Source organism: Homo sapiens, chromosome 11, assembly GCF_000001405.40.
Source record: "Homo sapiens chromosome 11, GRCh38.p14 Primary Assembly".
NCBI lineage: Eukaryota > Metazoa > Chordata > Mammalia > Primates > Hominidae > Homo > Homo sapiens.
The window spans coordinates 119,838,430-119,855,155 of NC_000011.10; the positions used below are offsets into that span (position 1 = coordinate 119,838,430).

Below are 16,726 nucleotides of genomic sequence, written 5' to 3' on the forward strand. Positions count from 1 at the left end.
ATTCTAATACAGGAGGCTCACGGATCACTGGAAGACACTGATAGAGTGAAGAAATAACATGGCCTTTATGAGAAGTTTTTCATTTGTTCTTGAGAGTGAGGAGGTGGGCTGGCAGAGAGACTGACCAGTTAGGAGGTGTCCTAGTCCATTTGGGCTGGGCAGGTTATAAACAACAATTTATTTCTCATGGTCCTGGAGGCTGGGAAGTCCAAGATCAAGGTGCCAGTAGATTCAGGGTCTGACACTTGCCCACTTCCTGGTTCATGGACAGTGGACTTCTGTGTCCTCACATGCTGGAAGGGCCAAGGGAGCTCTGAGGTCTCTTTTATAAGAGCACTAATCCCATCTATGTGGCCTCCACCCTCATAACCTAATCACCCGTACCTCCTAATACCATCACCTTGGGGGTAAGGATGCCATCATATGGATTTTGTCGGGGGAAATAAACATTCAGTCCATTGCAGGAGGCTACAGCCCCGAGCTGAGGAGGAAGGAATGTCAGTCAGACCTAGGGCAGTGGAAACCAAAGCACAGGGAAGGGTCTCATTGGAAAGCTAGAAGTAGCACGTCGTGGCATGTGGGAAGAGGAAGGGGACACATGAAAGATGACTTTGCATGATGAAGCTTTACAACTGGCCTGGCAGATAGGCTTTCTTCCTTAGAGGTGGGAATGATGAAGGACCACAGCCGATGACCTGGGACTGGAAATTCTGACCACTGATCTGGTACCCTCTGGGGAGGACAGTCCCTGCTCACAAACTTCCTGGCAGAGGGGATAGGTTTTTCTCTCACCATGAGCTCAGGGAAGTGGGGACCTCCGGGGAAGAACCCTAGCTGAGTAGGTTCTTGCCCAAGCTGGTTCCACTGTCTGGAGTCTCTCCTCTCCCACCACCCTCCCACCCCCACCTCACTCCCTTTCTTTCTCTCTCCCTCCACCTTCTTTCTCTTCTTTCTCTCTCCTCCATTCCTTCTCCTTCTCTTTCTTCCTCCCCTGCCTCCTCCAGGCAGCAGCAGCAGGGAAATAATGAGGTTGCCCAACTGGCGGTGCACGCACCATCAGGGTGTAGAATGAAGACGGATGACTGTAGCTAAGAGACAATTTGAAAAGGGATAAATACAGGCAACAAGTTATTCACCACGGCAATTTGTAAAGAGCGTTAAAAACCTGCAGATGGGTTGTTTCACATCATCTCCTTTTCCATTTGCAGGCTGACAGGCCCGGGTAAACGACAGTGATGGATGGCTTTGAGCTGGGCCCCTTAATCTACCACTCTGCCATTGATTAGTTTGGCTCGCACTGCACCCCGGGGTGGTGGACATGACCTGTCTCCTGGAATCGAGAGCCTGAGCTGGGCCTTGGACTTGGAGGGGTCTCCGTGGGGAGAGGGGGTGCAGGGCTGGTGGGAAGAATGGAGTGAGGAGCCAAGGGGCTGCCAAGGGTTTGGCACCAGAGACCCAGAGGCTGGCACAGAGCAGCAGGAGGTTTCTGCAGCTGAGGATTTAGTTGATCAGGCAGAGATATCGGGACAGAGGAATAGCAGAGGTTGGGGATCAGAGTACAGCCCTCCAGCCCCAGCTTCCAGGAGACGCCTTGCCCCACTCCATTGTGGCCTCGTCATGCTGCCCAGCAAGGGCTGGTGCTGAGCCCTCAAGGGCCCTTTTACAGACTACTTTTTGACTCTGTTTCCCAAGTTCCTTGCTGTGAATGAATCAGAAGGTAACATTGCACCAGTGTTATAAATGAGAGGAAAGAGTCCCACGGAGGAGGGGGTTATCATCTTCTGGGTGGGGGCTCGTTCCAGGCTGAATTTAGGATGTCCAAAGTAAAGAGAGTATAGACAGAAAGCCCCTTGAGATGATATAGAGGCGGGAAGGGCACAGGATAGCAGGCTGCTGCAGAAGGGATCAAAAGATTACGAGCCATCAAAGACTACAAATTTAGGGCAAGGTGAGAATGCACAATTCCCTGTAGTGCCTAAGAAATTAGAGAGAGAAGAAAGATTTGAGGAATAGATATGCTGCTATATTGGAAAAAGCATTACAGTAGGATTTGGGGGAATTTGGTCTTGCCTCTGCTCCCCATATAGCTTACTGTAGGGTGCTGAGCAATGGCAGAAACCTCCCTGGGCTTCTGCATCCCAAGTTTCAAAAGATAAATGTGGAAAATAGTAGCAGCTCTCACTTGTAGTGTGCTTTGACATTTACAGAAGTGCTTTTTTTTTTTTTTTTTTTTTTTTTTGAGATCATGACCCCATTTGATCCTCTTAACAATCCAGAGAGGGAAGAAGGTAAGTATCACTGTTTCCATTTTAAGGTTGAACAAATAGAGGCTCAGAGAAGTTAAGTAACTTGACCAAGGTCACACAGCTTATAAGTGGTAGAGCCTGAGCTCCACCTCAACCACACCATGTGACCACATGGCTGTGCAACTCCAGTGCTTAAGAGAAATGGGGCTAATGAAGTGCAGGTTAATCAAACTTCAAGCAAACCCTTACCTAAGTTTTAATCTTTAGAACAAAATATGTTTTTGTAAAACCTGGGAAATTATTGCCCACTGGTCCATGAGTCTGAGTGCTCCTGAAATCCCCGGTCTTGCCAGAAGGATGATGAGAATACAGATCAGGATTAGTTTCCTTAGAAACGGATTGAACACAGAATGAGGTGACCAGTCCTGGGGTCTGGCATCCTTACAGCTTGCTCCCTATTTGAAGCCTCACTGTTCTCTAAAATCTGGTTCAGGGCTCACCTCCTCCTTGAAGACCTCCCTGACTACCACAGCCACAATGAGGACTCCTCCTCTGGGAGCTCACAGCCTGCACTAGTGAAAGCAATGGTTGATCACATACTGCTTGTATTGCTGGTTAGGCCAAATGTTCTGGGATCTGCTTAATAAATGCAGCTGCCTGTGCTTATGTTGGAGAGAGTTGGGATCAGGGGCTTTTATAGCACCCCCCACCACACACACAACCCAAGCATTGACCCTGAGAGAATCAGGATTAATGAGTTGAACCCTCTCTGGGCAACTAAGTACCTGTCTGCCCTTGAACAGGTCACTTTGCCCTGCATGGGTTTGTGGTTCTTGCCTTTAAATTATAGGGGTGATGGTGGTATAGAAAAATGACCCAGGTCATTGGCTGTCGGCCCTGGCTGTCCATCAGAAACACCTGTGGGGTTTCTAAAATACAGAACACTGGGTCTGATTTCAGCCCTCCTGAATCAGTGTCTCAGGAAAAAATTGGCCTTTTAAAAAAAAGCTTCACAGCTGATTTCAATGTTCATCAGGGTTCAGAAACAGCGACCTCCAAGGAGAATCCCAGCAGCCGTCATCAATTGAGTTCTCCTGTGAGTTGGGCACTGCACTAAGCCTTTATACACGCCTTATCATATTTCACTGACTACAGCCTGGCTACTTTCTGAGGTCGGGTCCCCCCAGGAAACAGACTCTGAGACAGAGTGTTGTGGGCAGGAAGATTTCTGGGGAGCCCTCCCAGAGAACAACATCTGTACGGGAGCGAGGGATGCAAGATTGGCCAGAGGAAGCAGGTGAACTGTGTTTAGAGCTGTGTTGTAATTAAGCATAGTTAAAGGCCTTATCCCATCCCAGTGCTGAGGCTGGGATAGTCTTTCAGTAAAACAGAGGCAGCAGAGCCAAGCCTCTGTGTCTCACATGGACCAGTCTTCTGGGACAGGCTGCTTTTGGGTGCCTACCCTGAGGGAGGATGCCTACTGCTGGGGAGGGCAGCTTCTTTCTGCCAAGGCCTTCCTGCAGAGGATTCCACTGCGAGCCAGCAGCAGGTAGTGCCAGGCAGCTGCAGGAGGCACCTGAGAAGGCATCTGCATGGCTGACCACAACATCCGCTAGGTTATGACACCTATGGATGGAAGTGAAGGTGCAGAGATGAACTTGTCTAAGCTCACAGCATTCATATGGGGCGGAATTGAGATCTCAGCCTAGGTCAACTCCGAATCCTATATTCTTTTCTCATGGTTCAAAGCCACACAATTATATCAGAAACATTTGCATAAAAATTGAAACACTAGTTCCCTATCCCTCCATCCTTCACACACACACACACACACACACACTCTCACACACGCCATGTTAAAGGGAAGCTAGAAGGGCCAAGACTAAAGTTGCAGGAATAAGGGACTAAAGAGATTAAACGAAGCTATGGCAGCAATGGTAGGACAAGCCTAGGTCTGTCAAACTCAATTTTGTTCCAATATTAAGTGTATCTTAATAAAAAGTATTTGCGACTTTGCCTTAGCTCACACACCACAGCAGGATTGACTGTTATTCTTCAGAATAACATGCTTTAACATTTGTGTATTTGCTGGGCCATCTCCAAGGGCATTTGATGGAGCCCTCTGAAGGCTGCCAGGGCCTTTGGTCCCACTGATGGGGGCACATGGCCTGATTCCTTCTTCTCCAGGTCCCCCTCTCCATGCCCTGGCCTGAGGGGTGATTGGGGAGTTTAGGATGGTTGGCAGCCCGCTCAGGTCCCCTTGCTGGGCCACTGATGGGGGCTTGCTGGCCCCCTATGTGCAGGCCTGAGCAGGCTGGGTCTCAGCCCAAGATGGCGGTAACAGGGCTGCACTGGGCGTTTCCATTTGATTCAAGGCCGCTGAAGGCAGAATGGGAGAGGAAGCAGCTGGGAGCAGGGGGAGGCAATCAGCTGGCCTAGTGCAGACACCAAAATAGATGTGGGGGTTGGTGGAGAAGGCAGGGGCAGAGGTGTGAACACACCTTGGTGAAAGCCAGCTCCAGGGGAGCCAGGAGAGGGAGAGCAGGCCTGGGGGTGGTCTAGACAAGGCCTGAACCCCCTCAGCCAGGGGGACACTGTTGGGGTCCCCAAAGGCCTGTGCATTCGAGCACTGTCTGGTCCCTGCTCATTCTCATCTCCCCTGTTCCCTCACCCTTCTTTATTTACTCACTTGTCCCAGCATGATGAGGGGCCCTGAGTGCAGGGGCAGGTCTGTTGGAATCCTCTGAGTCCTCATCACCCAGCCCATGCCTGGCATACAGTACTTAGGAAGTATTTCTTAAATGAGTGGATTTCCTCATTTATTCATCCACTTTTATTCATTCAACTATTCATTCATTCATTCATGAAGCACTTGAGTCTTCTAAAGGCACACTGGCAGCTCCCAAAGGCATTTAGAGCATGAATATTGGCCCCTTGGGGTTAAAATCTGGTTGGGGAGTTTAGGATGGGCTTGGGCGTGAGGGGCTCAGAGGTGAAGTGAGTGAGCTGCTCAGCCTGAGAGTCCAGGCAGGGGTGAGGGGCAATCACTGCCAGCTGGCCTGGCCTGGGAAATTCTCCTGCATGAAGCTGGACACAGCAGCATGCAGGATTTGGGGAGGAGGAGGGGGAAAGGGCAGCCCAGGTAGGAGTCAGGAATGAGTGGGAAGAGGCCATAGATCAGGTGAGGCCAGGAGGGGAGGATGCAGCATCTTCCCTGGCTGTCCTAGCAGACGGCAGCCTTGATCTCTGCAGACTGCCTGGCGAACTGCTTTCTCGAGTCTGCCTGGGCGTGGACTAGAATTGGGTGTGCTCACCCGGAAGCAGCACACACCAAGCAGGGTCTGTTCTGAGGGCCTCAAAATGACCTAGAAAGTGATTTTGAAGAATATGCATCCCAGAATGAGCAGGCCCGTGGAGAGCCAGGTGTCACTGGCAACCAGTCATCACACTGGGCTGTGACTGCCTGAGAATGACTCATGGGTGACCAATCAGAAGGCAGCTTTGGAGTGGATAAAAATGACCTCCTCCCAAAATGGAAGAGAAAGCATCTGGTCACTCAGACCCCCCTGCCCCTCCACCCCCTGCCCCTGCCCCACCCTGTCCTCAACTATCAGGCAGGCATGAGCCTTTACATCCACATAGTCACTGAGGTTCTAGGAGTGCCAGGCACCCATGCTGCTGTGCTGTGGAGATCTAATCCTCTCGGTGTCTTCCCACCTCCTGCCTGGGGGGATTCTAGCCAGCCACCTACTTCTCATGGAGGAGGGTCTGTGGGGTCCCTGACTGAGCCTGCTGGAACGCGCCTGTGTCTAGGTGAATTCTAACTGTGCAGGTGAGGGGCTGTGCAGCTCATGTCCTCACCCCCTTCTCATCTCTTCCACCTTCTCGGGAAGCCAAGTCACAGGGAAGAGGGTGGGAGATTCAGACCCCTTCACCCCCACTAGTTGGCAACCCTCAGAAAAGGGCAGGTTTCTTCATTGACCTCTGGGGAAATGACTGCTTATCCCCAGTGAATAGGAGAAGCAACTGGGCGTGAGCTCCAATTCCAGGCTCCCAGGTAGGGGTTTGCAAAGGGCTATTCTCTATCCCGGGCCCCTGTTTCGGTCTTGCCAGGATGCATGGACAGGGTGGCCCAGGGAAGGAGGAAGCCTGAAATTCTTAGGGCACCATACTGCAGAAGCACCTGCCCAGGAGGAAAGGGGTACTGCTATTCTCTCTCCACCAGAGTCAACCCCATCCCCCACTGCCATTTCTCTTCCCTCCAACCCTATCCACTGGCCGAGACCCAAGTTTCCAGCAAGGGCTGAGCTTGCCTGGTCCCCTGAGCAGTCAGGATCGTTGCCTGGCTGTGTTTCTTCCATAGGAGGCAATCTTGTCATCGGGCACACTTAGCACCCCCAGGGAACTCCCTGAGCCCTTAGCCTGAGGGGGAGGTGGAGAATTTTATCACCAGAGCAAAGGCCACCCACAGCAGGAGGGGAGAGAAGGGGAAAGGTTTCTGGGACACACCACTCCGAATAGCTTTGGCAGTTTTGAAGGTCACTTTTTTCCCCTTCCACCAAAGAATTTAATTAGGCTTCCATAAAGCAGTTAGATTTCGGAGCAGAACATTTTTAGCTCCCCTGCTAGGTGTGCTCATGAATATTGAAGACCAGGAAAGAAGGCAAGAGGCAGGAGCGGCCAGCTCACACCCCTGCCTTGATTCCCTGGGGACCGGGACGCTTGGGCACAGGAAGGGGGCAGCTGGGTTCCTGGGTTGGGGGGCCCATGCAGCCTCCAGCAGCCCCGTGTCATTGAGCATTGGAGGTCACATCTTATTCCATCAGTCAGGACCTAGGGAGGTGCACCCCGCAGTGCCGCATGGCTGGTGAAGGCAGGGTGGTGCGGGCCTGTGGGCACAGGTGGCAGCAGAGTGTGCCGGGCCTGGAAAGGCCACTGAGGACTTGCTCCAGGCCATCGCCTATTGATCCCACCATCCTGGGAAGACAGGGCTGTTTGCCGTTAGCAGTACCAAATGCCAAGGGCAGGCTTTGGTGGGGGTTCCTGCAGCAAAGAGAACCCCCCTTCTCCAAATGGGGCATGGCTGGGTCACTTCAGAGAGCAGAGGGTGATCAAGTCAAATTGACTCCAGAGGACACAAAGATAGACCCAAACATGCCTTCTAGAGGTTTCTGGTGGAGCCCAGAAACAAGACACGCTTCCCAGAGGTGTCTAACAAAGCAAGTGGACAGGCCCAAACATGCTATAGACAGTGGGTGGATTCTTAGGTCCGAGGAATGTGGGTGGGTGGGGAATGGTAGAGAGAAAACTGCTCCAGGGCTCAGAGCTGTACACTGCCAGCCTGAGGAGCCTCCTCCAACAGGTCTGCTGTGAAGCCGGCTGGACCTCAGCTTCTTGCACATTCCCACAGTGCATTCTGCTTTCCAGGCACATACCTGCACATGGTCCCACGGGAGCCTCACTCACAGTATCCCTGAGCAAAAGATGGGGACACTGAGGTCTTGTGGATGTCATCTCTGGGGCACTCTGATTCCATCCCTTACCTGAGGTCATGGAGCTGATAAACAGTAGGACTGGCTCTTGAACCCAGGTTTTGGGCACCCACCCAGTGCATTTTCGCCTCAGTAGTCACAGTTCTGTTCACAGACAAGGCGAAGACTCTGGTAATATGGCTTTAGGATATGTCAGGGGGAAGTTACCACTGTATCTTACAGGGCTATGTCCAGGCTGCTATAGCAAAATACCCCATACCAGGTGGCTTAGACAACAGACATTTATTGCTCACAGTTCTGGAGGTCAGGCAGTCCAAGATCAAAGTGCCGGATGATTCAGTTCCTGGTGAGGGGCCACCTCCTGGCATACAGATGGCCATCTTTTCATGGTAGAAACAGAGCACGAGCAAGCTCTGTGGTCTCTTCTTACAAGGGCACTAATCCCATCATGAGGGCCCCACCCTCATGACCTCATCTAAACCTAATCACCTCCCAAAGGCAAATACCATCACATTGGAGGTTAGGGCTTCAACAGATGGATTTTGAGAGGGAAACCATTCAGTCCTTAGCTGTCTACTAGATCCAGACCCACTGGCCAGCGCTGATTCCATGTGATAGAAAGTAACACCCCTGCCCCCAACCACCCTCCGCAGCAGGAAAGCGAGGCTCAGAGAGGGGCCAGGGTGCAGGGAGCCCGATTCACATACATGTTTAGCTTTATTTAGTCAGCAAATCCTAAGCACTCGCCAAGGCCAGACACTGTGCCAGGTGCTTAGATCCTAGAAGTACAAGGAGCCCAAATGATATGGAATGGGAACACAGTACATCTGTGAACCTGGAAAAGGGGGAAGGCTTCCCAAAGGATGGCATCCAAGTTGTTGGTTCTGATGCATGAAGCTCAGGCCCAGCATTGGTGGATGAGGTGAGGGGAAGGGAGGCAGCATATTTCTGGGCTCAGAGTTGGGGCTGTGCTCCCAGGTGGCTGCCTCTCCCTCCTGATTTTACTCACCTGCCTACAGGGGCCCTCCTGATCCCCAGCCCAATGCAGCATGGCAGGAGCCAATGGTTAGGTCACTGATCCAGGAGAGGAGAGGGCTGTAGGAAAGACGGCTGGTTTGCTGGGGTGCTATTTGCGCGTTCAGCTTTTTGGTAGTGCACTGAAGGCCCATGCAGTAATAAATCTGTCCCTCTGCTGAGGCTAGGTTTGAACAACTGAGCAGTGTGTGCAGGGTGTCTGAGCTGGCTAGGGGCTGCCCAGCTGCTGCAGCCCAGTGGGGCAATGGTGTTGTCCAACCAGTTCAATTTTTTATTTGGGAAATGGAGGCCTCACCAAGGTCTTGGGATGTATTATTCGTGAATGTCAAAGAGAATATATTTTACCCTTGGTTTCTTCATGGCCTTGCTTTGTGATCTGGAGCAGAATTCCTACCCTCTCTGGACCTGTTGTCTCTTGATGACAGGATGATGACAAGAGCCCCAGCAACACCTGCTTCTGAGCACTTGAAATTTTTCTGCAGTCTTGGTTTCTTCATCTCAGTGAGGCCTTGCTCCCAAGGTAGCCCTGCCATTTGGGCTCAGGAGCCTGAGGAGCCCTGAAGCTCCACCCAGGTCTGTATTCAGGGCCCCACCTCTCCTCTCAAAGACATGTGTGATCCTGGGCCAGAGGCTTGCCCTTCAGGGTTTCCTCCAGCTCCTGAGCCTTCTGGGCAGACAAGGGCCACACTTGCAGCTGTGGACATCCCTCTGGGTGATGTCGGGAGATGCCTACAGCTCAAATTTGCAGAGAGCAAACAGACTTCCATAGCACAGAGGCCCTTTGCCCACCTGGGAAGCTGCCTGTGGCTCCTATCCAGCCCTCCCCCTCTGCCCTCCCCTTCTCCTGCTCACCAGCTGTGCTCCCTGGCCATCCGGCTGTCTTGCCTATGGAAAAGCCCATGGCACATGCTCCCAACCTTGTCAGCTTGAAATTAAAGACTTGCTCCACAGAGCTGGTCCTCTCCAGAGACCTGCACTTTGATTATCCCCTCGGAAGGAGCAGCTGATTTGGTTTCTGCGTGGTGCTCCAAGGAGTGGTGTTGGGAGGCAGGGGAGGGAGAGGGAAGAGGCAGAGGCGTGAGGGGCTGGGGCGATGTTTGCCTCCTGGAGCACAACACCTTGCAGAGCTGAGGAACTTCTGCAGCAATGCCAGGCGTTGCCAGGAGCAAACTGACCTCACGTTTTTTGATGATTATTGGGCCAGCTTGAAGGAATATTGCCACGAAGTGTGTTATGAGGTTGATTAGAATGGACTGACTTGATGATCCTAAGAGAAAGGCTGGGTGTGGTGGCTCATGCCTGTAATCCCAGCACTTTGGGAGACCCAGGCGGGTGGATCACGAGGTCAGGAGTTCAAGACCAGCCTGGCCAAGATGGTGAAGCCCTGTCTCTACTAAAAATACAAAAAAAATTAGCCAGGTGTGTGGCGGGCGCCTGTAATCTCAGCTACTCAGGAGGCTGAGGCAGGAGAATTGCTTGAACCTGGGAGGCGGAGGTTGCAGTGAGCCAAGATCGTGCCATGGCACTCCAGCCTGGGCGACAGAGCGAGGCTCCATCTCAAAAAAAAAAAAAAAAGAAAAAGAAAAAGAAAAAAAAGAAAAGAGAAAGGATCTCAGCTTGGGAGGCCGAGGCGGGCGGATCACGAGGTCAGGAGATCGAGACCATCCCGGCTAAAACGGTGAAACCCCGTCTCTACTAAAAATACAAAAAATTAGCCGGGCGTAGTGGCGGGCGCCTGTAGTCCCAGCTACTTGGGAGGCTGAGGCAGGAGAATGGCGTGAACCCGGGAGGCGGAGCTTGCAGTGAGCCGAGATTGCGCCACTGCACTCCAGCCTGGGCGACAGAGCGAGACTCCGTCTCAAAAAAAAAAAAAAAAAAAAAAAAAAAAAAAGAAAGGATCTCAGCATACCTGTGTTTGTCAAGGAGGCTGACTTCCCACCTTTGCCCCATCTTTGCATTTCTGAAAAGTTTCTTTAGAGAGTAAACACAGTTCAGTCAAGAGCCATGTCCTCTCCCCACACATGTGGCTCACAGCCCTAAGAGGTGGAAGGGCCTTGCTTTAGGGCGCAGTGAGGAATGGCTGCAGGTGCTTGGTGCTGGGCATGTGTGTTTTGAGTGCCCGGGTGTGTTTCTGTCTGTGTATGTAACACACGTGTCAACTGGGACCTATGATGCTGGCTGGAACTCCCTTTTCATATCCTAGGGAAGTTCAATGTTTTATCCTGAGATTTCTAAGAATTTCCAGAGAGGGGAGTGAGCTTGAGTTCTCATGAGGGTCTTGGCTCCAAGCTGATGCTCGTGCTGAATTTGTTCAGCTTGTGGATACATTTCCTCATGCTGGTCCACAGCTGCAGTTTGACTTAGATGTAGGATTCAATCTCTCCTTCACATTCGACCCCAAAACAATTCCCATAAGGCATTAACATCAGCGTCAGACTGGACTGAAGGTGTGGTGTGGGACAAAAGAAACTGTTTTGGGGGGTCAGTATCTGTTGAAAGGTGGGGAAAAAATAGCACATGTAAAAGCATGAGAAACAAAAATATTTGGATTGAATTGATATAAACCACTTTTTAAAACATCTTAACAGTGTATTAAGGTATAATTTAAAAAACTGTCCATATTTCAAGTGTTCAATTTGCCAAGTTTTGACATCTAGATCTAGATCTCTATTTAGATATACACATATAGATATACACACATTCCTCTGAACCTGAGTCAAGAGGTTCCTCTTCCCTGACACGTGGCTCACAGCCCCAAGAGGTGGGAGGGCCTCACTTTAGGGTGCAAGGCAAAGAGGAGAGGCTGCAGGTGCTTGGTGTTAGGTGTGTGTGTTAACAAGGGCACCATCCCCAGAAGTTTCCTCCTCTCCTCACCCTGGGCAACCACTGATCACTATGAATTGGTTTGCATTTTCTAGATGTTTCTATACAAATGGAATCATGCAGTCTCTTTTTGAGACAGAGAGGTTTCATATCTCAAAATCTGCAAGCAGTTCCATGTTGAATATTTGACACACTCATCCTTAGAAAGTCCTCTGCCTCTGTCTTCCACCTTGGTTCTCTGCAGCACCCACCCTGCTGGGCTTTCTTTCTTTCCCCTGCCCCCAAATTTTGTCTCAATTTCAATGCAGAGCAGTTCAGCCATCTTTTTGTTTCCTTGACTTTTGCTAATCCATATCCTCAGAGGCTTATCAAGGTAGTTTCCTGAACAAAAGACACTTTCCTCCCTAAGATCAATTCCACTGCCAGCTGTTAGGATAATGTTTTTTTATCCTCTTCTGCACTGTGTGAGTGTGTGCCCTTGTGTGTAAGTGTGTGCCTGAATGGGCACTGTCAGAGAGCGTGTAGGAGTGTTTAGTCTGTGAACATCTGGGGGTATAAATGTGGGTGGGGCAAAGGGGGGCTATTTTTTTAAACATTTATTGGTGCCTACCTGTACCAGAACTAAGCTAAGTGCTTTTGTATATTATCTCATTTAGTCCTCACGGCAAACATGTGACCTAGGAATAATGATTCACTTTAACAGATGGGAAAATGAAATTCAAAGGGGCTAAATAAATTGTCCACAGACACACAGCAACTAAATGGCAGAAGCAGAGCTAAACCTGAGTCTTTTGGGCTCCAGCCTCAGTGCTCATTCCTGTGCACTGGGAATGACGAATAGGTTAACGCTGTGCCATCACCAGGTGATTGGGAAGGGCTGCCTGGAGGACTACTTTGGGAAAGGCAGTGAAGCTGAGTCTGCGCTCACCAGAAGGAATGGCATGATTGATTAGTGATGTCTGCCACGGGTATGGGTGTGGAAGTGCTGTGTGCATGTCATCCTTGCCTTAAACCATGCTTCCTTGTCCTTCCTGTAATGGAAAAGTGAGTTATTATTACTCAGCAACAGGTGATTGAAAGCCTGGGTCTCTCTAGGAGCACTCACAAGGGTGCTCTAAGTTAGCTGGCCCTATTGGATGGCTTAACTCCAACAGGGTTTCCTCCACCCTCCGTCCTCACCCTTGAGGAGCTGTCCAGGGGCTGCTGGTGTGAAGGGTCTCCCCATGTTCTTCTCCTGCCCTTTCTCTGCAGGCCCCTGAGACTGCCCTCTTGTTTCTCTCTCCAGATCCCCTGCCATTCCCCTAGTTCAATCACCATCCTCTCTCATCTGCCAGAAGCCACCTTCATTCTTCCTTCCCTCCCTCCCTCCCTCTCTGTCTGTTTCTCTCTCTCTCCCCCTCCCTCCCTTGCTCTCTCTCTCTCTTTTTCTTTCTTTCTTTTTGAGACAGGGTCTCTCTCTGTCACCCAGGCTGGAGTGCAGAGGTGCAATATCAACTTGCTGTCACTCTGCCTTCTGGGCTCAAACGATCCTCCTGCCTCAACCTCCCAAGTTGCTGGGACCACAGGCATGCGCCACCACACCCGTCTAATTGTTGTATTTTTGTAGAGACGAGGTATGCCATGTTGTCCAAACTGCCTCCATTCTTGCTTCCCCATGGCCCATTCTCCAGGCAGCAGGAAGTATCCTTCTAAAATGTCCTGGGATCCTGCCAGTTGCCCCCCTCAGACCTCCCATTCTGCTAAGTATACACTGTAACTGCTCACCACGGAGATCTCCAAAGTGGGCCCTGCCCTGTTCTCTCAGCTTGCACTGTTCTCCCCTCACACAGCACCTGGGCCACTGGGCACTTCTCTTCACAGTTTGAACACACCAAACCCAGGTTTGCCTCAGGCCTTCATGCCTGCTTAGATGCCACCTCCTAGGCCAGGTTCCCCTGCTCACTAGTACTGTTACTTACTCACTTTCCTGCACAGAACTTACCACAAGAGTACAATATGCCAGACCACAAGCTCTCCAGAAGCAGAGATTCTGTCTGTCCTCATTTTCCTTGGAGTCTAGGGCAATGCCAGGCACACAGAGAGCACCAAATGTCTATGGAAGGAATAAATTCAAAGCATTTTGATACAAGCTTCCTCAAACTGCTTGCGAATCAGAGGAAAATATAACTAATAAATAGAAGGCCAGGCACAGTGGCTCATGCCTGTAATCCCAACACTTTTGGAAGCTGAAATATGAGAATTGCTTGAAGCCAGGGGTTCAAGACCAACCTGGGCAACAAAGCGAGGCCCTATCTCTAAAAAATTAAATTAAATCAAATTAGGCTGAGTACAGTCACTTACTCCTGTCATCCTGACACTTTGGGAGGCTGAGGTGGGAGGATTGCTTGAGTCCAGGTGTTTGAGACCAGCGTGGGCAACATAGTGAGAACCTGTCTCTACAAAAAACAGAAAAAATTAACTGGACATGGTGGTGAGCACCTGTGGTCCCAGCTACTTGGGAGGCTGAGGCCGGAGGATCGCTTGAGCCCAGGAGGAGAAGCTGCATTGAGCCAAGATCGCTCCACTGCACTCTAGCACTGTAGGCTGGATGACAGAGCAAGATCCTGTCTCTCTCTCTTTCTCTCTTTCTCTTTTGTGTGTGTGTGTGTGTGTGTGTGTGTGCAAGTGCTCACATATATGTTTAGGGGACCTTGGGCTAGCTGTTTAATCAGCTTGGGCTTTGGTCTCCTTATTTGCAAAATAAGACATGGTGCTTGTCCTGCACACACGACAGGACAGAGGGCTGGTGTCAGGGCATAGGAAGCACTATACCCAGGCCTGGATCACCATTAGGCAAATCTTACGAATCTGCCTGGGGGTAGGGGCAAGGGTCACTTTCTCTTCCTCAGTAACTTTGGTCTGGTTCCAAGTGCTCCAGCTTTGGGCCTCTGAGCTGCTTCTGTCCTCCTTCCCTGCCCTGGGGCAAAACTAGGGGCTGGAGTAGCATTTCCCATGCCCCAGCCAATCTCCCTCTCCACTCTCCCTGTCCAATTCCCACCTTCAGCTGAGAGTTTCTGTCTCCTTCATGTGCAAGAGACTATTCCTGGGCATCTCTGAGAGCTCAGATCAAAGCTGTCTGGTGCTAGCACATCCAGCACTATGGTGGGGGAGGAGGGCTGGGTTCTGTATATTTAGGAGAAGAGTCACCACCTTCCTGGAACCTGAGAATGGAGTTTCAGACCCTCAGGCTCACAACCTGAGAACTTCTGGGCTCTGCCCCTCAGAGCAGCTCAGTGGGGGCACATTCCCCCTCCTCCCAGGGCCACCTCTATTGGCCCCATGGCCCACCACCTCCCACCCATTCCTCCTCTCTCCTTTGATGGGAGGAGATAGATTTTACATCACAGAGAGGCTCCCAGTAGGAACTGTAGATGGTTCTGTATCAGGCAGGAATGGCTTTCTTCTGGGGGGCTTCCCACATACTAATGGTTTCTTCTTTTTTGATTTTGTTTGTTTGTTTTAGAGACAGGGTCTCACTCTGTTGCCCAGGCTGGAGTGCAGTGGCGCAATCAGGGCTCACTGCAGAATCAACCTCCTGGGTTCAAACCACCCTCCCACCTCAGTCTCCTGAGTAGCTGGGACTACAGGTGTGCACCACCATGGCTGGCTTAATGATTTCTTCTTAAACGACCGCTCTTTGAGCAATAGTCTTTGGGCCTTGGAGGATTCCCCAGAATGTGGTCTGGAGAGACAGGCTGGCTCAGGGAGCCGGCCCGCAGAGCCCTCATCACTCCTGCTGACGGAGTCCCTGAGGAGCAGCTCTGCCTCTGTGGCCTGTGAGTGGGAGCCAGCGTAGCCTGTGGCTAGGTGGCAATGGGGTGTCAGAGACTTGAGGTTCCACCGGGGGACAGGGTGACCGTGGGCCAGTCGCTGCCCTCTGTGGGCCAGTTGCTGCCCTCAATTCTGTCTGCTGGTAAATGTGGGGTTGGAACACGAGGTCTTGGGATTATGTGTGGCCTAAGAGACCAAACCCCGCCTAGAGAGAAGTTTCTATCGATTGCTCCTCGTCTGACTCAGGTGAGCTGCTTTTTGAGCAGTGCTTGCAAGGTGAGGACGTTGCGGCTTCTTCAGTTCCCTGGTTCTCAGTGTGGGCAGGGCCACTCTGACTTGGCAGTTGTCATCACTGCTACTCTTTGCTACAAAGTCACTATTCACTAGCTGTTTCCATGCCTTCCTTCACTCCTCTGTGCAGTAGATAAAATCCACTTCCCAGTGGATGAAATTGAGATGCAGAGACATAAGTAAAGTTGGGAATAACCAAGCCAGGGTTTGCCCTGTTGCCAGGTCCCTGCTCATTCCACTCCATTCCTGCTCATAATGCCAGATAGGACCACTCGTCCCCGGGGTCTCTGCCCTGCTAGTCTCAAAGACCCTTCCACAGGGCAGGACTTTGCATAAATGATCCACAGCGGGTAGCAGATAAGACTAAGGGGCTGCCTTTCCCCAGACACTTTTGAAGAAAGGACTGGCAGCTCCCTTTGCCTCCTCCAGGGCAGTGGGCCCAAGACCCCAGTGTTGCAGAGACACAGGTGCTGCTATGGAAAATGTTGTCAAAGAGCAAATTCGCTGGCAGCCGTGATGTGTTCCTTGAGGTCAAAGGGCTAGCAAGACAAGCATGATCCAGAGATGCCGTAGGGACAGGCCTGAGCAAGGATAAACAACATGTTGGTTGGTGCAGCCGGGCAAGCAGAGAAAGTGAAAGTAAATAAGCAGACAGATGCTGTGCGCAGGTACCAGGGGACCGAGCTGCAGCAGGAGGGTGCCGGGGCAAGGAAACTTGCTTGTGGAAAAAGGTGGCATGTGATCAACTAGGACAGGTATGAAAGGGGGTGGGATGAGCTTTCTAATGCTTTCTCATTGCTTGGAGACAAAGGGAGATGGGGTCTCTGAGCCTGGTTAGAACCATTCCCCAAACCCTTACAGCTCCCAGATGCTTGTTCTGAAAAGCCCGAGAACCAGAAATAGCCTGTGCCCCTCTTGGAAGCAGAGGTAGGGTCTCTAGCCATCACATGACAAACACAAACTTCAATATCTAAAGGCAGGGGATAAAGAAGGCACTCAACCAATCAGAAGCCAATAAACCAATCAGAT

The 16,726-nt window shown here is 51.2% G+C and overlaps 1 long non-coding RNA gene across 2 annotated transcripts in view, besides 1 other annotated feature; it reads left to right on the forward strand.

Annotated features, from left to right (window-relative positions):
• LOC124902771 (uncharacterized) overlaps window positions 1-16,726 on the forward strand; it is a 34,803-nt gene that overhangs the window by 5,548 nt on the left and 12,529 nt on the right. Inside the window, exon 1 of one of the 2 annotated variants that reach the window (XR_007062921.1) lies at window positions 16,351-16,452. The exons of the other annotated variant lie outside the window; for it this stretch is intronic. This is a non-coding gene — a long non-coding RNA (uncharacterized LOC124902771). Of the gene's footprint in view, window positions 1-16,350; window positions 16,453-16,726 lie in introns of those variants that run through there. 2 annotated transcript variants of the gene reach the window in all.
• Window positions 1,417-1,916: an enhancer, noted in NCBI's record as "H3K4me1 hESC enhancer chr11:119710555-119711054 (GRCh37/hg19 assembly coordinates)". NCBI's record gives its function as "activates a minimal SCP1, AML or CMV promoter by ChIP-STARR-seq in primed H9 embryonic stem cells {active_cell/tissue: H9 hESC(primed)}" and the evidence as "EXISTENCE:reporter gene assay evidence [ECO:0000049][PMID:30033119]".